This window comes from Homo sapiens, chromosome 10 (assembly GCF_000001405.40).
Source record: "Homo sapiens chromosome 10, GRCh38.p14 Primary Assembly".
NCBI classification, from domain to species: domain Eukaryota; kingdom Metazoa; phylum Chordata; class Mammalia; order Primates; family Hominidae; genus Homo; species Homo sapiens.
Genome location: NC_000010.11, coordinates 84,940,830 through 84,966,943, shown reverse-complemented (window position 1 = coordinate 84,966,943; position 26,114 = coordinate 84,940,830). Strand labels below are relative to the sequence as shown.

Sequence of the window (26,114 nt, the reverse complement as noted above, 5' to 3'; positions counted from 1 at the left end):
TTCTTTTTTAGTCCACTGGGGGACACATCTACCCAACTCTGGGATCTCTGATTATCCCCTGACCCACTCAGGCAGGATCTTGTGGGAATGGAGATGGTTTCCATGTTCAAAATCACTCACTGCCTCTCCCCAGCCACAACCTCCATGGAGTAGGAAGTTCCAGTCCCTAGATATCAGACACAGCACACGATTTGCTTTGGCCAATAAAACATTAGCAGATGCAATACAAACAGAAGCTTGCGATGTGCTGGCACTGGTGGCCTTTTCCTCTCCCACTTGTGCCACTTCCATTAGAAAAGTTTCCCCCATTAGCTGATGCCTCTTCTGCCTGAGACCAGAATAGAGAATAGATGACCCCAGCAACGCGCACACCTGAACCAAGAAGGAGATTCACCCCCGCAGACCCACACCTGAGAGAAAGGATAAATGATTATTGCTCTCAGCCACTAGTGTAGCTAAACAGGATCCACACACAGAAAGATTCCTTGAAGCTGAATGCCCACCAAAGTTTCTGAACAAAGTCCCTAATGGTGGGTCTTTTCATGTGAAGAAGGAAAAGTTCTTCATTTAAAGTCTCCTCAAATTTTTGTGAATGGGTGGCACTCATCTCAGCAGATAGCTAAAGGCCTGCTCCCAGCATGGACCAGTTAGGGGTATCTTCTTCCACCAATCCTATTCCTCTGTCTTTTCTGGGGTACCACGGTGATCCAATAAATGTTTAATTCTTCATGGTAGTTATTTCTTTTAACCTGACTTTCCTCAGATTATTTATCCCTTCGACTGAGACAGTTTATAGTACATCTTGCTCTTTTTATTCCCTTTTGATTTATTGCTATAACCGTATGTCCATTTGAAGAAGTGAGCCTGAACTCCAACAGGCAAGGGAAACATGAAGGAAAAATAGTGACAGAGACTGTGAGACCTGAAGGAAGGGGAGTCCTGTGAATGTACTTAGTGGAGAGAACTGCAGGCTGAACCCCCAATGCCTGTGGGAAGGAAGAGGAATGCAGATGGACTCAGACTGAGCAGTGACCATCCCAGCAGAGGATATCGCATCTGGCAGACCCTCAGCCTTTATGAGCCCCTGCTTGGTTATTTTTTTAATTCTCCCCAGACTGGTTATCCCCTTCTTTTGGTGAGTGCATCCCAATCCTTCTTTAGGAAAGTATTCCCTTTCCTCTTTGTATATACTCTTGGCAAGACTAAACCAGTCAGCTCCAGCCTACTCTGAACAAGGGCCTTGCTTGTAAGCCAAGCTTGGACAGTTGTGCTCTATGACTTAAGACTTTAATTCTTGCTCCCAGTGATCCCCAGGAGGAAAACAATCTGAGTGCATTCACTCTGAAGTACCAAGAAATTGATCACCACTTCCCACTTTCTAGACTTCCAGTGCTGCCGAGGCCTTTTTCCTTCCAAAAGATTATTGCAAAGTTTTGTCTTCAATTCAGGCTATTTAAATTGATTATTTGGTTCTTATTGTTTCTCTTTCATTTTCTAGAGTTTTTATCAAAGAAATTTAACCAATATGGCACAGATTTGCAAAAGTCACAAGTTAATTCTTAAGCTGGAATTGCCTTAATGGCATTGTGCTTTAAAACAAACATTATAATAAAAAAAGCTTTATCTTGTGTTTTTATCATCATATAATTTCTTATAGTAAACATTGTGAATAATTCATAAAAAATAAAACAAAAACCAAATTACCCTGAAATTCCACCTGAGATCATGGGCACCGTAACATGGCTTTGGCCATCACTCCATGTGTCTTTTTATAGATCTCTTTGTAATTTAATATGATTGGAATTTTATCATTTGTGCTGTTTCCATGGTGATTAACATCATAGTGTAATGCAGTCTTTTTTGTTTGTTTTTGCTCATCTACCCGTCATAAATATAACTCTATTGACATCTTTCCGTAGCTTTCCCTCTACCTATATAATCATATACACATATATTGTATATATATCTACATACTGACACTTTTCTGTTATTTTAGAAAAAAACAGAATCATATTACAGCATTTTGCTTTTTCACTGTTGAAATCTATCCAAGTTAACTTATTTCCACATGCAGTTATCTTTCAGTTTTGTGGACAACTTGACATTGATTAAACCATTTCCACATAGAAAGGTATTTTTTTCAGTATTTCTTTTTTGACCACTAAACTCATAAAGTAATTAATATTGCAATGGAGATGAGGAGCAAATAATTAAAAACATTTTTGTTGATAATATGATTGCATGCCTAAAAGCTACAAAAGATTCCAGTAAAAAGCTCACAAAATTACTAACAGTATTTGACAAAGTGACTGGGTACAAGGTAGGTATACAAAACTAATAGCATCTTTGCTAGACATAAATGGAGAAAAATAATCAATTCATAGTAAAAACTAAATGAAATAGATTTCTTAGGAATACATTTAACAATAAAAAGCATTTAACCTATCATAAGAAAACTATTAGATCTCAAAGAACATAAAATAGAACAATAAAAATGAAACATTGCATGTTTTTGGATGTAAGACTATCATAAAAATATTATTTTCCCCTAATTAATATAAAATGTGTACATATACTTAACTCAGTTCCAATTAAAATTCCAATTTTGTGGTTATTCTTTTGAAACAAGATAAAATGATCTTTCAGAAAGGATAAAATAGTCTGATAGTGTTCAAAAAATGTATAAAGCAGATGAATGGGAGAGAACCTGCTTAGCAGATGCTGAAAATGCATTATGAAGTCACTGTGCAGAAAGTAGGATGATACTCTCATAATTTTCCTTAATCTCTTCATTATTCCTACACATTATATATAAAACAAACAGAAGGACGCCCTGAAAGTTGGAGAAAGGAAGGCAGATGGGCTAAAGATCTCAGGACCCAAAGAATAGCATGGTGGCGAGTTTCCTGGGTTTTCTTTTTGCCTCCTATACACCAGACTTGGAGCTAAAGAAGACTTTCACACTGTCAGGCTGAGCGGAGGTGCCCCTAACACCATCCCTGCCACACACACCCTCATGATTATTAGAAAAGGCTGCGGAGGGAGCCAGGACACTCATCTCTGCTGGGCAGTAATAACCGCCCTAACCTCCACCCACTATGGTGCACATGTGGATAACCTGGACTTATTCCCAACTCGCAGTAAAGAAGTGTTCCTCCCACTTTCTGCTGGAAGCCTAGGGGAGAGTCAAGACTGTTACCACTCCTAGGTGTCATTGAGGCCACCCCACTATGGTGTCAGTGGAGGCCATGTAGAGGGATTAAGGAGGCACTCTTATCCCTCCCAGTAAAAGTGCTTTGACCCAAGGCCCAGTAAGGGGCCATTTTAGAACCCCTGCCTCATGCAACAGGAACACAGAGACCCCTGGCACACTCACACACTCTGGGGTTTACAGAGTCTGAGTGGGAACCTGGACTTCCACTCCAACTTGGTAGCAGCTACACCATGCACCCCCTTCCCTTGCCAGAGCAGTATCAGAAAAAGCCAACTAAAAACAGAAGGTTTAGACAAGACCTAGCATCTTATAACCTAATACCCCAAATGTCCAGTTCTTAAGAAAAAATTACCGAGCCAGAAAAATTCCACTTGAATAGAAATAGGCAATCCATAGATGCCAACACCAAGATGGCAGAGGTATTAGAATTACCTGACAAAGACTGTAAAATAGCCATCATAAAAATGCTTCAGTGGGCAGTTATGAAAAAACTTGAAAAGAAAAGCCAGAAAGTTTCGGCAAATACAGAGAAGATATATAAAGAATCACCAAGTGGAAATTTTAGGACAGAAAAATATAATAACTAAAATAAAAAACATAATGGATGGTCTGGAGAGCAGAATGGAAGGAACAGATGAAGGAATGAATGAAGTGTGTAAAACACTAGAAAGTACCCAATCTGAACAATAGGGAAAAAATAGAAAAAACAAAAGGGGGAAGGAGGAACAGAGCCTCAGAGACCTGTGAGACTATAAAAAAAGATCTAATTTTCACATGATAATAGTTCCAGAAGAAGAGAGAAAGAGTCCAGGGCTGAAAAAGAACTTGAAAATATAATGGCTGAAAAATTCTTAAATTTGACTGAAGACATAAATCTACAGGCTTTAGCTGAGCAAATAGGATAAACAAAAAATCCACATCAAGATAAATTATACCAAATATCTTAAAACTAAAGACAAGGGGAAACAAATCTTGAAAACAGCAGGAGATAAAATATCTATAAGGGAAAAATAATTTGAGTAGAATGGATTTGTCATCAGAAAGCATGCAGGTCAGACAGAAGTGGCAGAACATTTTTCAAGTGCAGAAAAAAAGAACAATTAACCCAGATTCCTGCAAACATTGAAAATATTCTCCTGAAATGAAGGGGAAATAAGAACATTCTTATATGAAGGAAAACTAAGAGAATTTGTTCCCAGCAGACCTACCCAGAAGAATGACTAAACAAAGTTCTTTAAGCAGAAGAAATGATAAAAGAAAGAATATTGAAAGATCAACAAAGAAGACAGAACATTATAAACAAAATATGGGTAAATATAATCAACTTTCCTTCCCTCTTGAGTTTTCTAAATTATGTTTGACAGTGGAAGCAAAAATTATTACACTTTCTAATGTGGCTCTAAATGTATGCACGTGACATATCTAAGACAATTATATTCTAAACAGAGGCAAATAAAAAGACATAAGGTAGGTAAAATTTCTAGACTTTAGTCACATTGGTGAAAGGATGAAACAAGTAGACTATAATGTTTCGTACATAAGGTAATATGGAGAGTAGTCACTAAAAAAGCTGTTCAAGATGTGTACTCAAAAGCACAATAAATAAAAATGGAATGCTAAAAAATGTTAATACAATTCACAAGTCAAATAGCACACGAAAAGATGTCCAACATCATTATTAGAGAAATGAAAATTAAAATCACAACAAAATGTCATTGCATAATATTATAATGGCTAAAATAAAGAACAGTAATGCCGGGCACAGTGGCTCACGCCTGTAATCCCAGCACCTCAGGAGGCCATGGCGGGTGGATCTCCTGAGGTTGGGAGTTCGAGACCAGCCTGACCAACATGGAGAAATACCGCCCCTACTAAAAATACAAAATTAGCTGGGCATGGTTGTGCATGCCTGTAATCCCAGCTACTCGGGAGGCTGAGGCAGGAGAACTGCTTGAACCTGGGAGACAGAGGTTGTGCTGAGCTGAGATCGCGCCATTGCACTATTGCACTCCAGCCTGGGCAACAAGAGAGAAATTCTGTCTCAAAAAAAAAAAAAAAAAAAAAGAACAGTGACAACACCAACTACCGGCAAGGATGCAGAGAAACTGGACCTCTCGTGGTGGGAATGTAAAATGGTACACCCACTCTGGAACAAGGTTTGGCAGTTAAAAAAAAAGAAAAAAGAAAAACAAAAAAACTAAAGCTGTGACTACTAAACAACTCAGCAATCACAGTCTTGGGCATTTTCTCTGGTGAAATAAAAACTTACAATCGCACAAAATCCTGAACATGAATATTTATGGAGGCTTTATGCGTGATAGCCAAAATCTGGAAACAACTGATTCCTTTAGAGAGTGAATTGTTAAATTGTGGTACATCCTCACCTTACAATGCTACTCAGCAATAAAAAGGAATGCACCATTGATATACACAAGAACCTGGATGAATCTCCAGACAATTATGCCGAGTGAAAAAAGCCAATCCCAAAAGGGTACATACTGTATGGTATGTACCACTTATGGAATCTTCTTGAAACACCACAATTATAGAAATGGAGAACAGATTAGTGATGACCAGTGATTAAGGAGGCAGTGGGGGAAGGTGAGGAGGGGAGGGAAGTGAGTATGGCTGTAAAAGAACAGGAGGGATTCTTGTGATGGAAATGTCATATCTTGACTATATCAGTGTCAGTTATCCTGATTGTGACATTGTACTCTAATGTTGCAAGATGTTACAAATTGGAAGAAACTGCCTGAAGCATACAGGGACTGTCTCTGTATTTCTCACAACTGCTTATGAATCTATCATTATTTCAAAATAAAAACTGTAATAAAAAAACTTAAAAGGAAAGTCTTCCCCTTTGAAAGTCCTTGACTTCTGGAATGGACAAAGTCCTATAAGACGATGACCACCAAGGGGCTTGAATGCAGAAGAGAGTCATTTCCCAACAAAGTGGGTGCTGCAAAGAAAATGAAATGCCCAACAGTGCGTCTCTTTCCTAGTACTCTCTTCTTCACATTCCCACCATCCCTGGTACAGTCAAACCATTTTTAATATTGCCCACATGATAGGAAATCCATGGTGCCATGCTGTTGTTTGAACTTGCATTTTCCCTATCTTTGGTAAATTTGACTTTTTAAAAAAAGTACATTAGCTATTTGTATTTCTTTTGCTTGAATAACCTGTTCATCTTTTATCTTTTATTTCTGTTGATATCTATTTTGTACTTATTTATAAAAACACATTAGATATTAGGGTTATTAATCCTATGTCTAGTATTTTGATGGCAAATATTTTCTTTTAAATGTTTAACTTTGTTTTTAGTAATTTTTGCCATTCAATGGTTCAAATCATATATATTCAAATCTGTATATTTTTTTCTTACAGCTTTTGAGTTCTGTTCTTATATGAGAATACCTTGCCTATCACCAAACTGTTAAAATATTTTAGTTTTTTTATTATTGACTATATTTTTTATTTAGTCCTTTTATTCTTTATATATAATTAAGTAATCTGAGGTTGAAGTATGCCTTTATTTTAACCTTCCAAAAATGTCTAATGCCATTTATTTTAGAATACTTCATCATTTAGCCACTGATTTTAAATGCCATCTTTTCCCAAATCAATGTTATCTTAATAGCTTCGTTGCCTAATGCACACAGCAAGTCAATATCCTGAGACACTGGGTTGCAGCAGAGAAGGAGGTTTCATTGTAAGGCCACTGAATGAGGAGACTGGAAGAAACCTCAACTTCATCTCCTTAAGGAGTTCGGGGCTAGAGTTTTTAAGGGGTTTGGAGTGGGCCCAAGTGTGATCATTTGTTGGTGAAAGAGCGCAAGATAGTGTCATGAGGGAGGAAGATGAAAAAACTCTTCTCATGCTGATTCAGTTTCTCTATGGGGGTCTTCAAAATGGTTGGTGTCAACTGTTCCACTGGATTTCAGGATCTGAGAAACATCTTAAGCAATTATTAAATGAAAGCCTTATGAGTCTAATGTCAGACATCTTATCTATAAGAACAATAGGAATGCAGATTAATTCTTAAAGAAAAGCCTTATAATTCTAACAACAGAAATCTATCTACAGGAACGATGGTAATGCAAATGGTCAGTATCTGGTCCTAAGGGACTTTCGGTTGAAAGGAAGTGGGCCAAAGTGTAGCCTGATGAATGCTTAATTATATTTCTGTCCAGAATTATTCTTAATCCTGTGAGGACCGCTTCGCTGATATCTCATGTATCTATCTAGGAGTCTCTGGACTCCCTTCCATTCCATTGATTTATCTTTCTGTTCCTAGGCTAGTACAAACTGTTCATTTCTTGTAGCTTTAGGGGTCATTATGATTCCCGGGAGGGCAACAGTGGAACTCATTCTGCATTCATCTGTCTTCAAGGTGTTTGTTTCAGCTTTTGCTTTTCCCTGTGTTGCTAAATCTGCATTTCCAAACACTCCGCTCCCTTTAGTGTAGCTCAAATGTTGCCTTCTTGAGGGAACATCTCAGGGCCTAGAATTTAGTGTAAGGTACTCTGGGTGTGGATTCTTGCTTGGACATTTCCTTCCTGTTTGTGTTGAGAAACTCACTCCACCTCATGGTGTTTTCGTTTTTGTTACGTTTACCTTCATGACATGAAACATAAAGGAAAACATAAAAACACTTAAGGCTGCAGGCAGTGGCTCACACCTATAATCCCAGCACTTTGGGAGGCCAAGGCGGGCGGATCATCTGAGGTCAGAAGTTTGAGACCAGCCTGGCCAACATGGCAAAACCCCATCTCTACTAAAAATACAAAAATTAGCCCAGCATGGTGGCATGTGCCTCCCAAAATTAGCTACTTGGGAGGCTGAGGCAGGAGAATCGCTTGAACCTGGGAGGTGGAGGTTGTAGTGAGCCAAGATCATGCTACCTCACTCCAGCCTGGGTGACATAGACTCTATCTCAAAAAATAAAATAAAAGCACTTAAATAACACACATTGGTCATGAAAATTAAGAGAATGCATTTAAAGTGCTTAGCACAATGCATGGCCTGTGATAAGCACTCAATAAATATTGACTCCTAGTAATGGTACTTCTACTGTTACATGTAATAGTATTTTTCCTTTGTTATTATTAATCTCTTCTTACTTCTGTTCCCATAGTTCTTAATGCTTCTATTTGTACACTATTAATATTCCACCCTGAGGTATTTTTGAACACGTCTTTCTCTCACTATATACCTTGAGCCTTGTTTTTTGCCTAAAGACAAATCTCGTTATGTTCTTTAGTAACTAATCAAAATAAAAGCTTAATAAGTGATAAATTAAACAAATTGATAGTATGGCTATAAATTTCCTTACATGGCTAAGGTGTAAAATATATTTTTTAAGTTTTTTTTTTCTACTCTCTACACCACACAATATTCAACACAGAATACTTTACTTCTGGTCACCAAAACATGTGTGGGTTTTTCTCCAAACACCAAGTGATACTCCAGTTGGACACCAGCCAGGTATGCTGTAATTCAATTTACTTCTGACACTTTCTACCTAAAGATAGAGTCAGACCCCACAGGTTAAGAGCTCAGTCCCAAACATTGCCCCCATTTCAGATGCCAGTCTTAGATCTGGATCTCCAGAACTTCTAATCAACTGGCTGTGAATTGGGGATTCCCATGACACCTTCCTCAGGTTTGACTAATTTGCTAGATCAGCTCACAGTAATCAGGGAAACACATTACTTATGTTTACTCATTTATTATAAAAGACACTATGAACAATACAGATGAACAGCCAGATGGAAGAGAAGCAAAGGGCAAGGCATGTGGGAAGGGGGCAGGGCTTCCACACCCCATCTGGGTGTGCCACCCTTTAGGAGGGATTACCATGTGTTCAGCACTTCCAAAGCTCTCTGAACCTCATCCTTCTGGGTTTTTATGGAGGCCTCCTTACATAGGCATGATTGATTATATCATTGGTCATTGTTGATCAACTCAACCTTCAGCCCCTCTCCCCTCCTTTGGAGGTCAGGGACTCAGGTTGAAATTTCCAACCCTCTAACCACATGGTTGGTTCTGTTGGCAACCAGCCCCCATCCTGAGGCTCTCCAGGAGCTCATCCAGCATTGCCTGTTTAGAACAAAAGATGCTCTTGTCACACAGGAAATTCCAAGGGATTTAGAAGCTCTGTGCCAAATGATCCTATTATTCAGGAAATTGCAAAGATCTTAGGAGCTCTGTATCAGGAGCTGGGGTCAAAGATCACATATCAGAACAACAGATTCTCCTAGTACCTACTACCTATAAAGATTTGAGGAGCTTTATTGTATACAGAGGGAGGTGGTGGTATTAGAACTGTGTCCTCTGGAAGAAGCTCTGGCACTTCACAGGAGTATCTGCCTCAGAAGAAGAAGACCTCAGCATTGTCCACTAACTTGTTGTCCCAAATCTGCCAACATAAAGGGGAATTTCTGCCTGCAGAAGAAGCTAGGGTCTTGGGAGGCCAAACAGGAGCTGAGCTCTGTCCTGGGAAGTACCAAGGCAGGACTTGTCCTCAGGTCATCCCTGAATCTAGAGCCCATGAGGCCTTGACTCAAGGAAGTAAACAGAAGAAAAAGCAAGAACATTAGGAAATGAGAAAAGGAGGAAGAGGAAAGGAGATAAACGAATGAAGTAAAATGAGAGGCTAAGAGGAAAGGACAAAGAGGAAGGCAGTGAAGGGGACCAGGAAGGAAGTGGAGTCACGCACTGGGATCCTCTCAGCCAAGACCATTCTCAAAGGCCCAAAATACCCTCTGTACCTTGCCTCTGATAAGCTGCACTTACCAGAGTACACACAACGAGGTCTGCTGTCCTGCCTTGTGTCATGGTTACCCTTTTGAATTTTCCCTTCATTTATCAAAAGCCCAGATACCAGCAAAAAATAATTGCTTCTCAGTTACCATACTGGTCCATGTATGGCTCAAGACAAAAATCATCTTTCATCTTTTTTTTCTTTCCTCATTTCCACTAGTATTTTCTGAGTAGCTCTTAAGACTTGAGGTGGAGCTGGGATCTTCTCGCTGATGAAAAAGCCCTTTAGGAACTTCCAGACTGAGCAAGGGGAAAGTGGCCAGGAGGTATTAGGGATATTATTAAAACAAAGACAAGAGTCCAATTGTCTTATATTTTAAAAGAGATTACTAAATACTTCAAAATTTAGTATTTAGATTACTAAATACTTTTAAAATTACTACATATTTTAGTGGAATGTTGTATCATTAATAAAGTCAATAGATAAAATGTTGGGAAAATATTTACAACACAGATATATGATAAAGGGGTAATATCCATAATATGTCAGATAAAAGGTATGAAGAAATTCATAGAAGATAAAAATTAAACAGTCAATAAACATGTGACGATACTTGACTTACTAGGAAAAAAGGAAATGCAAGTTAAAATAACAGTATCTCTCTATGTTCATCTGGGATGGAACAATCACAGACCAAGTTTAGCTGAACTTGAGTTTCTTTGTCAGGAAACCTGTTCTTAAGGCTCTATGGAATTCTGATCTATTGACTTTCAGCCAGTCTATGAAGCAGCAGCCTCAGCTAGAGAGCGTGACAAGTAATATCCTTCAGCTGAGATGGGTCTGCGGCAATTAGCCTCTTGGTGTTAGATGTTGGTTCTCGGTCCATCCCTCTCCATCATAGTACTCGTGTTCCACCTCACACTCTGCCTCAGGAACGTTCGAAGCACAAGCCAAGGAAGGGAAGGCACCTCCCATTTCCTCCATGTCAGAAAGCAGTGTTGCAGGGTGTCTTCAGTGTGCCAGGCAGAGAAAACAGAATCGGAGGCAGTTTTAAGAGACCTGTCTGGAGTTGTATTTTTTTGGATGTAGAGGAGGCAATCAGGATCATCCTGCACCCCAATATTATCCTCTTTCTTACATCAAGTCTGGCCTGTTTGTAACTTGAGCTCCGTTCTTTCAGTGTTGCAACGTGGTGGGTTATTTCACACCCAGTTGATTTGTACTGCAGGCATCATGCTGAAAGAGCCTCTGTTAGTTCTTCCTGTCTGGGGCCTCTCTGTTACTCCTCAGGCCAAATCCAGAGTAAACCTCTTTTTCTTGTAGGGCTGAGAAAAAGCAGGTCTCCAAAGCCGGTCTCATGGAGTTGGTCTCCAAATTGATCTTTCAGTGAGCCATACCTCCTGGTATTCTTGCCCTATGTAGTCCTCCGAGGCTGAGTTATAAGAAGTCTTTCAGCTTACACTTGGGCCTCTTGAAATGTTAGGCATACTCATTCTTAAAACTCTGCTGTCATGCTTTGGAGATATTATGGGAAGGCACTCTGGTCAACAGCCTAGCAGAGCTCCCAGAAAACAACCAGCATCAACTTCCAACCCTGTGAATGAGCTGTCTGGATGTACAACCCAGCTGAGCTATCTCATGCCGGCAGATTCAGCCATCACTGGACAGCAACATGACAGACCCCAAGCAAGAACCACCAAAGTGAGCCCAAAGAACCACAGAATCATGAAAAATTGAAATAAATATGTGTTTTAAGCCACTGAGTTTTGGAGTGGCTTGTTACATATCATTAGACCATTGAACAAGCCTTATTAAAGGCTTTGAGAAGTACCCAAATTCAACACCATAAAGTTTTCCAGGACCCCTAATGCTACAACCTTAAAAGATGAGTGGTATGAATGTCAAAACCAACATGAGACAATTCAACAAGTTAGTGCATGACAACATAGCAAGGTATGCTAATCCCACTCCCTGAAATTGAGGGTTTTCTCTCATTCCCCTTGTCTATACATGAGTGCAGTCAACTCCATGGCACTGTCTCTTTCAACTTTTATTTCCTGGTATCAAATTGTACATTTGTTGTTTAATTGTTTTCAATTGAAAGAGAGAGAAAGCCCATCTCAAAATGGCTTAGGCAACAGAGAAAATCTATTGATTCACATAACTTCAAAGGGCAGACTTAGCTATTTCTGGCTCCAGGAAGAATTCAGTACTGGATTCATAAGATATCACCTCTGCTTCCTCTGGACCCATTTCTTCCTGAGGTCCTCACAGTAGCCCCTCAGAAGCTTCAGACTTCACTTTATGTCTTCAGCAGTTACAAGCTTCCCATAGCAGAATGGTTATAGCTAGATTTACATCCTAGCCCCATTGCTTAGTAGCCATGTGGCCTTGATCAAGTACATAACTACTCTAGTTTTAATTCCCTCTTCTTTAAAATGGGGACAATGATATCATCTATTCCATGGGGTTGTTGTGAGTTTAAGTGAGAAAATACATGTAAAGCATTTGGAACTGTCTCCATCATAAAGTAAGAGACCTGCAAGTGTTAGTGTTTGTAGTAATAATAATAATAATAGTAGCAGCAGCAACAGCAGCAGTCATGTAGTAGCAATAGTAATATTCTCCACTATTTAAGCACAGCAGAGGAAAAGAAATCTATGTTCCAACTTTCCCAAAAGTTCCTCAGCTCCTTTCAGTTTCCCCGAACGCATTACAGGGCCTCCAAGGTGGAATATGCTGATTGGCTCAAAGTGCCTGGAGTCTGCACCTAAAACCAGGATGGGTCAGTCCTACAAGATTGGGAAATGTGGAGCTCTATCAGGAAGGGGAAAAAGGGAAATAAATTTCGGGCAGGCAATTAACATCTATTTCTCAGTAGAGAAACTCATAGTGCTCAGACCTCACTGCCATACTGTTGTGCCCATCTTGGAGACAGACATGTCCTCATCTTCCCCACAAAGTCCATTCAAGAAAAGACAATTTTTATTGGCCTTACTTGGAACAGGAGACTTTCTCATACCCTTCTGAGGATCTCTCTGTGATCACCCTGTGCTCTTAGCAAAGATGGACCATCTGTGTGCAGCAGGGGAGCCCCTTGCTTCTGCTTCCTTTCACTGACTCCCCCTGACATCAGAACCTTTACACAACACTGTGTTAGCTGATGGGGGGCTCTGCATCCTGAGGTCCCCGCTAGGACCGTACACACCACTTGGGTAGGACTTTCCTCCTGCAGAGTGAAAGGAGCATGCCTAACTGCTAAATTCTCCTGGCACCAAACCCAGAGTCTTTCTGACTCCAGGTTGTGATTCTGATTGTGAGTTCAGGTAGATTTGTATTTTCCAGAGCAAAACTGGTTCACACAATCTGTAGCCCATAAACCTTTCCCTATGGTGCGAGGAGAAAACCCCACACTACAAATGATATGTGTTGTTTCTTGGTCTCAATAAAACATTTGTCTCTCTTGTACATAATTAATTGTTAATTGAAAGTATGATGAATTGTGGCTGCTTGTAATTAATTAGTAGGAGACTACAGTGAAATATGACTCTGAGTTCTTCTCCAGACTTATTTTGTTTTAGAAAGCAGAGGAAGAATTGGATCCTGTGCAAATTCTTCCGTGGCCTGCTGTGTTTTAAACCTTACAGATTGGTAGGGTGGGACAAGGTAGGGGGAAAGGCATGGATGGTAGCATAATGTAAGCATGGACTCACTGGGGACAGCATCTGGTGTTTGTGTTATCCATCTCTTGCTGCAGAAGGGCAAGTGGCTCCTCAATTCTGAAGGATGAAGCCATGGTGTGGCAGCCAGTGCAGGCCCTGGGAAGGGGCAGAGAACTTACCTCGGACCCTAGACGGGAGTCTTCAACTGGGATACTTTCAAGCTAGAGAAAGAGGTGTCCTATAAAGGCAGAATAAATCTGACCTTTTGTGACTATCAGGCTGGAATGAGAGGGTAGTATATGAATTAGCTAAAGCAGCTCTACATTGGTCCAGACAGACTGCAGAGATTTGAACAAATGTCCCTAAAGACAAACTCCCCAGTGTGTGCGATTGATGCGTAAGGTCCTGTGAGGTTATTATATAACATACTGCAAATGGCCCTCAGAGGGATGATCAACTCAGTATTCTTAGGACATCCTGACCCAATAGCTACCTGCTTCTGCTTAGACAGCATCCAGTGGCAAAGGTCTGACTCCCTCCTCTAGAATCCTAGTTTATCCTCAGAACTTCCAAACAGGGAACAGTGTCAAGGAGCAGCCAAAGAACTACTTTTCATCGTATTTTATCAATCACAGTGTAATTAAAATTTCCTTTTATCTTTCAAGCTATCAATACCTTTTTATCTCCCCATGTTGCCTGTCTATTGATTATGTCTTTAATTTATGAAGCTTCCTTATGGTCAGTTCCGTTCATGAGTCCCCTTCTCTCCAGGCTCCCCCTCCATTCTCACACCATTCCCCCTCTCTATCCTGAGGCCCCTTCCAGTCCTCCCACCCGCTTTCCATTAATGCAAGCTCCTCCCCACCCACACCTAGCACTCCCTCCTCTCTCCACCACCCCATGTCCTTCTTATCCTCACAGTCCATGTCCCATCTTCTCTTCACCTTCTACCCACAGGGCTGTGATAGCCTTTCCCAACCTTACATGGGCATCTGAGCATTGAGGGGAAAAGCCTGAATGACACCTGCTTTGCCAGACCCCATCTCTCCATTTAGGGGGCAGATAAAGATGCATGTCATGTCACCCTTCAGTATCATTACAGTCCTCAGAATGGCCCTAGATGATGGAGAATGCACTACATGATCCTTACTGGTGAAGAATGGCCCTAACAATCCTTCATTTTGTCTTGTTTTTGAGAGGATCTCACTCTACCTTTACTATCTTCCTAAGCATAGCAACATTTCAATCGCTAATAATCACAGTTCACATAAACTGCAAGAATTATGATATTTCCACCATGACAAAGTCAGGCATGCTTTCTCTCCAGCAAAGCAGGAGAAAGAGTAGGAGCAAAAAGCATTTGAGGCATGTGGTTTAAAATAAGGAGAAATGATAAACAGCCTTGAAGACAGATGAGAGCATGGGGAAAACATGAAAATACAGTCATCTAAATAAAGTCACATACACCAATGCTAGACTCTGGGAATAATAGATTCTAACTTTGACGTAGAGAAAACTGACTTGAGAAAATCCTACTAAGGCTTCTGTCAAAGGAAAACCCCACTTTAACTGTATGAAAAATAGACCAACTTCAAAACCGTAGGGGAAAAAAATGAGTGCCTTCTTAACCATTTGCTGCTTGATTCAGACATGAGTCCAACTAGAAATCTGGGATACAGTCCAACCCTTAGTACAGAAAATGGTGCTTTGTAATATAGGCTGAACACAGATTCAATTTTCCTTCATCCAGACAGGTATTTTTAACATATGGGTAAAAAATGCAAATTCCAAAAAAATATTGAAGCAAAATTGTGGGGTAAAGGAAACTGACGTTGCTGGTGCATTCTGGGAACTATAGTGCCTATAAATGAAGTGTTGTAAATAAAGGCTAAGATTCAAATGATATTATTATCAAAGTAGTATCCAACTACAATTTCTGGAATTGTAGTTTTTATTACCTCATTGAACAATGTTCTGGGAGTTGGAGAAAGGAATTCACTCAGTAGAGAAAAGAAATGCCAGATGAAAATATTCACACTGGCTCCTCAATCTTGTTCTAGCCCTATATCTAAATAGGGGATTCAGGAATCCACTCACCCTCGAAGTGCAATCAACTTGGCTAGCCAGCATACCGCTCTGTTCTACAAAGCTTTCTACTAATAAATGTCACTTGAGAGATACTCAGAAGCTGATGAATTACATGGAATTGTTGTAATTTCAGGATTTACGACTACCCGTCTTCTCTCAGACTCTGCTCCTGGGATGTAACATTCATTGCTTGCTATGTCTATACCTCACTACATGCAATGCACCTTTAGAAGACTGTCTCCTTACTCCATAATGGAATTTGTCTCTGACCTATTGCAGCTATGAGATGTGAGTTGTTGGGCACACTGAGGGGAATGACATAGTTGCCATATCAAAGATTATCTCCTACTGTGTAAACTACAGAAGAGAAAAAGTATTAGAACAAAAATGCACCCACTCAGTCTGGGCATAGTTTCTAAAAGGAATACTGTTGGATGCAGGGTCTCACATTGTCTTCTCTGGTCTCAGCCCCAATAGAACTTGTGTCAGTGAGGAAGATAGATTAAAATAACCTGAAATAAGAAAATAAATAGGAAAGTTATAATTGAAGGACTATTATATAAAAGGGCTTTGCTGTTGAGATTCTCATTAAGGTCTGTAACCCTGTTCCAGAAGCATTACCTGCCCCAGAGGCTACCTGCCACTCAGTGAAGATCATATGCCTAAGTCATGACATCAACATCAAACTCTCTTCAAATCTGGGAGAAAGGCTCAGCTCTTACAACCAGGACAAGAAGAAATGACACCAGTAGAGAGATCATTTGGTGAGCAGCAGGGTTGAAAGAGCCTCAAACCATGGAGAGAGAGCCTGGATCTCGAGTAGAAAGGCTTCTGGCACTGAAGAAGTCAAACAGGATCCCTGAGAGGGAAAAAGCCAGGAGCTTGGGGAATTATCTTCACCAAGGTATTTAGAATCAGTCTACCCCTTTACACTTACTCCCATAATGGCACACCCATAGGAGCTTGAATTGCAGTGAGAAGGGGTTTCTTTCTTCTGGAAATGAATAAAATGTGCTCCAGGGCCTAGGCTCCTTAGAGGTAGAAATCAATTTTGATCTTTTGGCCAGAGTCCTGAGACCCAGACTCTATCTCATTGGACAGGCAAGACAGTAGGAATGCCAGAAATACAGAAGGGTTCAGCCTCAAATTGCTGCACCTTGGAACCCCAGCCTCACTTGACTCTTCTGATCTATCCCTGCCCCTTAAAACCCTCTGTTTTGATGCCTCATCACAGGGATTTTCAGAACTGTCGCTAGTATAATGGAGGCTAATTTGATGCAGTGATTCTCAATCCTGACTGCGTATTAGAATTACCTGAGGAGCTATTTAAAAATTATTCAGATCAATTAAATCAGAGTCTCTGAGGTTGGGATCCAGGCATCGTACTTTCATAAAGCTCCCTAGGTGGTCCTACTGTGCAGCTGGCATGGAGGAACCCTTACCTAGTATTACCCTCTCCCAGTCTGCCTCACATGGTCTCCTAGTCTACACCATCCCAGTTTTTCTTAGAGTCACTTTCACCTAACAAAATGCCCATGAGAGTAATTTCTGGAGTTTGAATGCTAAGAGTTATTTAACCTATAGGCCCATATTATTCTCTCGCTTATAATACCGTGGTACTGTCCCACATTATTGCTTCATGTTATTACTGTAGTTTAATACAGTATACTTCATCTTTCTGTGCCTTGATGAATTCAGCCAAAAAGCACAGCATGAATGAAAAAAAAAAAAACAGCTGTTCTTTCTGTTGTGCCTCAATTTTCTTGGGAGAGCAACTAAACTCAGAGCCACTAAAAAAAATATGGAAGGAAAAAAACTCAGGCAATCTGAGTGAATTGGAGATATGACAAAATTAATTAAGGTTGTGTAGGTTGTAATTTACCAACCTGTCAAAAATTCCTTAAAGGATAATTTAAACTGTAGTTAGCAGGACCTGTAACTAAGTACTAGAAAGTCTGCTCTTTTTTTCTGCCTTTTAAATATCTTAATCTGTTGCATACTACAGTCTCTTTATTTGCTGCAGGTTTTTTTTTTTACAGGAATATTCAAGTCACATGTAGTAAAATCAAAATACCTCAGAGACTTCAGTTTGCTTTCTCTACTTCTCCAGGTCTGTCTAGAGATGTGGTTGGCAGATTTATGACCCCCAAAGATGTCTACATCCTAAACCCAGGAATCTGTGAGTATGTTACCTTACATGCAAAAGGGACTTTGCAGAAGAGATTAATACCTTGAGATGGGAATATTATTCTGGATTATCTGGGTGGGTCAGATTTAATCTTACAATTCCTTTAAAGTGAAAGACAAGGAAGAGGCAGGGTGAATCTGAGCAATGTGAGAAGAACGTGCTGACTTTGAAGAATGAGGAAGTAGATCATGAGCCAAAGACTGCAGTAGCCTCTAGAACCTGGGGACTGCCAGCAGCTTACAGCCAGCGAGAACACAGGGACCCAGGGCTGCAACAGCAAAGAATGGAATTCTGTCAATAACCAAATGGGCAAGGAAACAGACTCTTTCTTAGAGTATCCCAAAATAAAGGCAGCCCCATGCACACCTTTATTTTAGCTCAGGAATACCTGTGTCAGATTTCTGACCTACAGAACTGTAAGACACTAAGTTTGTGTTGTATTAGCAGCTGAAATTGTTGCATTTTGTTACAGTAGCAATGGAAAACTAATACAAGAGGGTAAGCTAAGTTGGTTTGCAAATTTGTAGATGCACTGACTGAATGCCAGCAATTGATACACCAAAGTTAATAAAATTCTGGGACTTTTATCAAAACCAAGGCAAAGAGGATAGCATGAGCTACAAATGCTAATTGGGTGGTAAAACATCCTTAACTTTACCTTCAGTCTTATTTGTCTTTACTGAAACATAGTAAGGGAAGATGGGCAGGTCTGTGCAAGGACAGTGGCCCAGTCACTTAGGAGAGACAGTTAGTGCTTACATACCTGTGGGACCTGCATAGGGTCTCACTCAGAGTTTGAAGCAAATATCAGAAAATGTCATCCTTAAAATTTAAGAAAGAGAAGAGAATTAATTATCACATTTATTCCACAAAGGTGCAGATACTGTACAAGGTGGCTTATGAATATCATCTTATTTAATCTTCACAGCAATACCAGAAAACCAGGACTACTTTGTCCATTCTATCTACTGCAGAGAAAATGAGACTCGGGAAGATCCAGTAACTTCCCAGAGGCTACAGGGAAAATAAGATCTGCCTGATTTCAAAGTGGTCAAGGGTGAAATTAATGGATTTAACAAACAAAGCAAACAAACAAATTTTCCTTAAAAGGCATCCAAAAATCTTTATCCTGAATTTATGAGCACCAAACACCTTTCCAGGATGTAATTTTACCTGCTTTAGGAAACTGATGTCCTGCCAGGTTTACTGCTGCCGTAAGTGAATAACACTATTTAGTGGTACCTAATGCATGCCAAGCAGAGATTTGTGTTTGACCTATTATTCCCCATTCTCACAATAATTATATTAGGTAGGTAATCTCTCCATTTTCCAAATGAGGAAACTAAAATTCATAAAGAATAAAGCCTTTCCCAAAGTTAATAAACTAATAAATGGCAATGCCAACATTTCAATTCTTGACTGTCTGATGCAAACATATGTTACCTCCAGAGTTGGGGACCTATGAGTCTGGCTAGTGTGAACTTCCTCTATACAACCTCTGAACTCTGGAAGGACTGACAGATTCAACTGACAAATTCAACATCTGTCACTCACATCTGCTGTGATGACCACACACCAAGGTTCATTCAACCATTCTGTAAAGTCCTATTGGAAAGAATCAGGCAATCAAGATTCCTATCACCTCACCTTCCACAAGATGGGGGGAAAAGTTGTGTCCTTGAGATTTCTATGGAGAGCTGTGGAGAGAAAAGCAAATAGACCAATCCATTAGGTAATTAAATTAGTCATTTCATTCACCAGACTTAATGGATAGACGGTCCAAACTCAGTTGATGCAAACATTAACACAGTAATCTGAGCTTCCTCGATGCACACAGCAGGTGTTATGTACCATCTTTGAATACAAGGGAAATATTACATGACTACATAAAACATGTAGCATTCTGTTTCCAGAACCAGAGTTCTCTCTGCCAACTACTAAAATCCTGCTAATTGATACACTGTGGTTTTTGGCCAGCCAGGGTCTTATTTCCATAATGTCAGTTGGTGGTTTAGTACATTTTTTTTTATGGTTTGCTTGCACTGCTAACTCTGGGTATAAAGCCAATTCATCCACGAGAACATTCAACATAAATTTTTGACCACCTAGCAGTGGCATTTAAGCCTCTGTGATGATTTCAGACATAGAGGCCAATTATTTTGTGCTAATTATTTTGTGGTATTTGCTTATTACTGTTAAAAAAAATCTGTAGGAATACAGCTGGATTTAACCTCTGAGCAAACTCCTAAGCAATGACCTTTTAATAGAGGAAGAGGGAGGGAGGGAGCTGCTACAGAAGCCAGAGAATAAAGCCCTTTAGAAAGTCAAGTAACAGGATAGGTGATTAGTTATTCACAAGAGTAACATGTTGCCTATGATTCTAGGAATTAAAAATTTCTCAAGGCAGATTTATTTGCCTATTTAAATATGAGCTACCGTAATAGTTCTAATCCCAGAAGCTCATTGTTTATAGTTAAGTATCAAATGGACCTGATAGTCCCATACATGTGAGTATTTTTCTTCAGGTTGCCCAAATGAGGTACCCAGATCCTTTCTTTCTCAAGGACACAGGAGAATCAAATGAATGCAACTATTACCCAGAGTTAATGCTTTTAAATGTTATTCTAAATATAGTAAGATTTATGGAACCAACAAAAGTTTCAGTTTTCTCAAAAATTAATATATATCAGCAAGGCAATCAACAAGATGATATAAGCTCTGTATGTGCAAGTTTATCTATATTGTCAACATGATTTGGAGGGAAAAGTCATATCCAATGAAATTGACATTTTTGGTTGAATTGAGTGCAATCTGCAGTATGTTCACTTTTTTGTATGATAACCTTGGCTTGTTCTAACAGTTTAGAAAATAAATCTTCATTATATCTCCTGAAGATAAGACACCCATCTGTCAGTTCATTACAGTGGTTGTAGAGAAAACATTTGGAAGGGGTGATTTAACAAGAAGTAATTCTTGGCTAGTGGGAACTCCCCAACTGCAGAGAAACAGAATGGATTGCATCTTGGAAAACACCAAAGTTGGAAAGAACTCAAAACCCTGCTAGAGAGGAAACCAACCTGGAAAAGCCTCCTCACACTCAGGATAGCATTGCTAAGGCAGCAGATGCTGGAGAAGAGTGGACAGCTGCCAAGTATGGGGGAACAATAGCCAAGGTTGTAGACATGGCATTCTGGGGTGTGTCGACAACAGTCATCAGTGAATATATGGCAACTGGGAAAGAATGGATAAGCTGGGTGTTGGGAAACAACATCAAGAACTGGAGAGAGTGTTGAAGACTTGTCCTTTCTCAGAACCCAGGTTGCTGGGCACAGGTAAGGACCTAGATTCAGAGTCTCCTGCACCCAGAATAAGAGGAAACCACTAGTAGAATGATTTTACTTGTCTCCCTAGTACCCAGTCTCTCTTCTTCTGATAAAAGCACCCTCACCCCTGCCTCAATATTTTCTTTTGTGAAGTTATCCTTCCCCCTTACTTTTGAACATACACTGGATTAAGCTGATCTCATCTTAGGTCCAAGGATGGGCATATGACTCTAATCCATACAATGAGGATATCAAAGTCCCCATGACATAGTATGTGCATAGATGGTGTGAAAAACCATGACTGGGCCTGGCCATGGAAAGACTTCATGTGTATATAAATAGAAACTCCCTAGGCACTACCGTTTAGTGCAGGAAAGGGGAGGCTAGCTGCTCAGGGCTAGTGTAGCAAAAGTCTTGAGGTCCAGAGAGTATGCTTGGGTCATTGATTGCTAGTTAAAATAATGATTTCCTTGGATCATAGTAGAAATACTTTTCTGGATGTTAAAGAGGCTGGGTGAGTAAAAGGCATGTTATCCTCTGACCCAGGAAATATTTTCTCCATACAGGTTGCTAAGACTGAGTAAAACAAGAAAAGCAATGGGGAACCTCACTCACATCCATGCTTCCTTGTCTCATCTGTATGTATGATTTTTGCACAACTTATTTGATACTTTGGACATAAAGCAAGGTAAAGTACACTCGAATTGAGTCCAAGGTGATATTACTACCAATCCTTTAATCCAAGCTTTATTTAGTGGTTGAACTTAGCAAAATTTACTTGGTAAATTCACATGAAATATCAGAACCAATCGTAGATGCCTCAGGGAGATAGGGTGGAATAATTGAAAGGGAGAGGAAGTATCCCTATTTATGTTATTTTTGTAGCTGTGAAGTTTTAAATCTGTTGAGAAAAATCTTGCTTCCATATTAAGAGATCATGCCTAAAAGTAGAAAAGAAAAAAAGAAAAGCAGAGTGAGAGATGGAGAAAGACCAGGTCCTGGTGAAATCATTTAATCCTTTACCCAAACCTAGCTATATTGGGATTCTTCAGTCATAGAGGCCAAAAATTTATTTTTTGCTTAAGTTAACTTGGGTTTAGATTTTCTTCCAACCAAAAAGAGTCCTAACTTACTGTGATTTGTGGACAGAATTCTGGAGGATTTTTTGAGGATTCCAAGGGTTAAGATTCCCAGTGGTGTCAGTTATTTATCCAGAGTTCCTCAGCTCTGAGACCATCCCTCCTGTGCTTGGTGATTGTAAAGCTCAGAGTCCTCAAACCACATTTCCCAGAATCCCTTGCAACTGTCTTTCTTTCGGTTTTGGCCAATGAGAGGCACTGGCAGGAGATAAGAAGGTTAGTAAAGGGAAGAAGGGACTCTTTCTGCCTACAGATCTGGTGACTAGAGCAGACAGTTGTAGGCCCAACTTCTAGAATCTTTTGGCACTCTCAGCTCCAATCACTATCAGTAGTGCCTTAGGAGCTGCACAGCTTCCCCTTAGTGGCTGGAGCAGTGACACAGGTGCCCCACCATCAGCAGCAGCATGGCAGCCACCTGCATAGCTCAAGTGATGGAGCTGCAGGGGCCCCTCCCCCAAGCTCTAGTGCAGCTCCAGTGTCCTCACTACTTCTCTTTTGTATCGCTATGTTCATGAGATAAATGAATGCTTTTGCATTAAACCATCAAATACTGGGGGCTGGAGAGGAAGCATGTTATACAGCACTCTTGTAATAATTGATAATGGTTACAATCTACATAACAAATTTAAATCCCTATATAAAATGTGGTATTCTGTTTTTCCTTAATGGACACTGATTAATACACCAACTATCCTTGCCAAAAGGAGCACAGTGGGAACTGGAAAGCTTGATGATCTTCAGTGAGGCCATGAATGTTAATATGTACGTGATCCTAGAACCAACCAGCCACTTACTGTATGAGTCACTAGTCCCCCACCCACTAATTTCCTGGGGATAGTCCCCCTAAATGGTATATGGTTGTCTCCAAGGAGGCATACTTATTCTTGATGATGGCAGCATTGTTTACTCCATCCTGTCAACTTAAAATAATCAAAAGAGTCAGAATCTATTATTCAAGTGCAACATTTGAGGATGGCCACCCAGAAAACAAATTCCAGTGAATGGAAGTCAGTGTTCTGAAGTGTAAAAGTTTGTAATTATTTTTATAGACAAAGTTTAGAGAACCTTGACAGAATTTTGACATCTTTCTCTGCAAGGTTTAATGTACAGCTAAAATGATTTCATAGTTAAGGGGTCTTTTTTAGAAGAAAGGTATATTTAATATTCCACACTGAAGACGTAGCAGTCATGAGGTCTTTTTTGCCGTCTGGTCTGACTTAGGTTCAGGACAATAAAGGGGGCAGGTAATCTATAACAAAGATCAGTGATTGGAAGGGGAAGAGGTCTGGTCTCTGGTCTCTCCTAGTCATTTACAGAATGAGAAAAATGAGGAAAAAAGTTAAGCTATAATCTAAGAAGCAGAATTGCAAACATGCTACGTGACCAAGTCTCTAGGGCTTAACTTCCCCCTTGGCATAATAAATTTAAAGCATCCTAAAGTTTTTTACTTTCTTTTACAACTCCCATCCCTAGTAACTAGAAATACCTTTCTTTGACAAATTCTACAAATGTAGAACAAGAAGTGTACAATGTGTAGCTACCGATGTTGTGCAAATTCCAGCTTTACCCACCATTCTAATAATCTACTGCTGAACACAAGCCACCCTACAGTTTAGCGGCATAAAACAGTAAATATTTTATTATGATCTCATATTCCATAGGTCAAAAATTTGGATCAGGTAGAGCAGGGATGGATTATATCCACTCCACAATGACTGCAGCCCCAGATGTGAAAACTTGAATGGGTGGAGTTGATTCAAGTCGTCTCATCTGAAAGTCTCATTCACTTACAGGTCTAGAAGTTTGGCTCAGAGTACCTACATGGGACCTATCCATCACAGCAGCCTAAGTGTAGTTAGCTTTATTCCACAGTAACGGGATTCCAAGGGTGAGTATGCCAGAAAATGAGGCAGAAGCTCATGGCCTTCATAACCTAGCCTCAGAAGTCACATAGCATCTCTTCTGCCAAGTTCTCTTGGTTGAAGCACTCGCAAACCCATCCAGATTCAAGAGGATTGTTCATTTTCATACCTTTGTAAGAAGATTGTCATAGAACATGCAGCCCTGTTTCAACACCACCACACTCACCATTCTCTTGGGGGAAATACTGTGCAAATGAAGTTATCTCTCCTTTCTTAAAAGTCATATTTTTATTGTTTCATCAATACTTTGAGGACTCTGTACTAGCTGTGGCTCCAGGAGTCACTAGGATAACCTAAAGAAGATGAAGAACAATTTGGTCCTCACATTCTTGAGTGGTTTAATTAATCATGTGGTACCCTCTGGAAACACAGCTGTAGGCAAGGTAACATCTCAAGCCTGGATGTAAGTCACCATTTCCATAAAGTTTATGATAATTGACCTACTTCTCCACATAGCATCATCTTTTAAAATCTCTTCCTCTCATCCCCAAAATGATACACATCCCACAATATGGAGCAGGGTCATTATCTAATGAGATGGATGGAGTGAGCCAAAAAAATTAACCCTTGCCACTGATTGAGAGACATTGGTCCTTAAGGGATCTTGAGTAATGATCACAACCTCCTGGGGGTTCTCATGTCACCTACAGAAGTCACCCATCACTTCTAGGAAAACAATCCACTGATGGATTCCTGATGCATCTGAGTATTCTTGCCAAGAATATTGCTTGGATCCAGATAGGTCCTTCATCACATCCAGCAGCCACACATTAGAGATTTAAATGAACAGTAAACTTACATAAACCCCACACATTAAGTAAAGGAATGGGAAAGGAGCCCAGCACTAACTATCTAGCTCTGCTTGTATCACAAGTGGAAACTATAAGTGTGTTCTAAAACAACATAGGCTGTAGATTATCACTCACTAAGTGTCACAATCCATAGAGAACAGACTGTGGGCTATTCAAGGGCCGTCCACAGAGACAAAGCGGTTGAGTATGAAGGCCAAAGTAGTTTGGAATATCTGCTGACTTCAGACTTGGTCCTATTAACCCATTCTCATAACGCTACTACTGGTCCCTATTCTAATTTCTATCCACTCTTTAAGCCTTTCTGACATGGTCATTATGGAATTTAGATTGATTACCTTTTGATCTTGCCTTTGCCTCTAAACTCCATTTTAAGATCATAATCATTACCATTGCCTGGATATTTTTATCAAACATCAAATTTCCACAAGGTTTTCTAGCATACATAGCATAACTTTGACCCCAAACTACCAAAATTTTCAAGAGCATAATCAATAGGGCTTCTCTGAAACCATCATCCCTCACTCTCTCAATTTGTTGCAACAAATGCCCTCAATGGCGATCTTTTCTTCCCACCTCTCCTTCCTCTCTCCTCTTAGACACCCTCTGGACTATATCTGGAGGAGGCGAGATAGCACCAGCGTTGGGTGGGGAAAAACTGGAGTAGAACACATCTCACTTGGAGATGCTCAGAAAGTACTCATAGGTGGATTTGCAGAGCCAGACACAGTGGGAAAGGAAAAAACAGAAAAATAAAACATAACATCTCTGCTCTCGGATAACGTGCTGTTTATTTTGTTTCTCCTCCAAGGAGTGCAAGTACCTTGCCCAAAGAACACTCTGCCATTTCTTACAAATTGCCAGAAATACTCCCTGCAAGACTCAGAAAGCAAAATCTCTATCTGTTTCTACGGAAACCTCAGCTTGACACGAGGCACCTTAGACTACACCAATCTACAGACACTAACAAGACATGACCCACAGAACAGAAGAGAGTGGGAAA

At 40.0% G+C, this 26,114-nt stretch overlaps 2 long non-coding RNA genes across 3 annotated transcripts in view; one reads left to right on the top strand and one right to left on the bottom strand.

The window, feature by feature from the left end:
• Positions 1-20,169, top strand: part of LOC107984249 (uncharacterized) — a 46,275-nt gene extending 26,106 nt beyond the window's left edge. The window contains exons 2-4 of one of the 2 annotated variants that reach the window (XR_001747521.2): positions 15,864-16,018; positions 16,343-16,494; positions 17,841-20,169. This is a non-coding gene — a long non-coding RNA (uncharacterized LOC107984249). Of the gene's footprint in view, positions 1-15,863; positions 16,019-16,342; positions 16,635-17,840 lie in introns of both variants that reach the window. The other variant, XR_001747520.2, reaches the window with a different exon arrangement.
• On the bottom strand, positions 15,994-19,621 carry LOC105378401 (uncharacterized). Its single transcript, XR_946151.3, has 3 exons — positions 19,566-19,621; positions 18,682-18,740; positions 15,994-16,242 (listed from the first exon to the last, which is right to left on the bottom strand). It is a non-coding gene; the product is annotated as an uncharacterized LOC105378401 (long non-coding RNA).
• Positions 20,170-26,114: the final 5,945 nt, after the last annotated feature.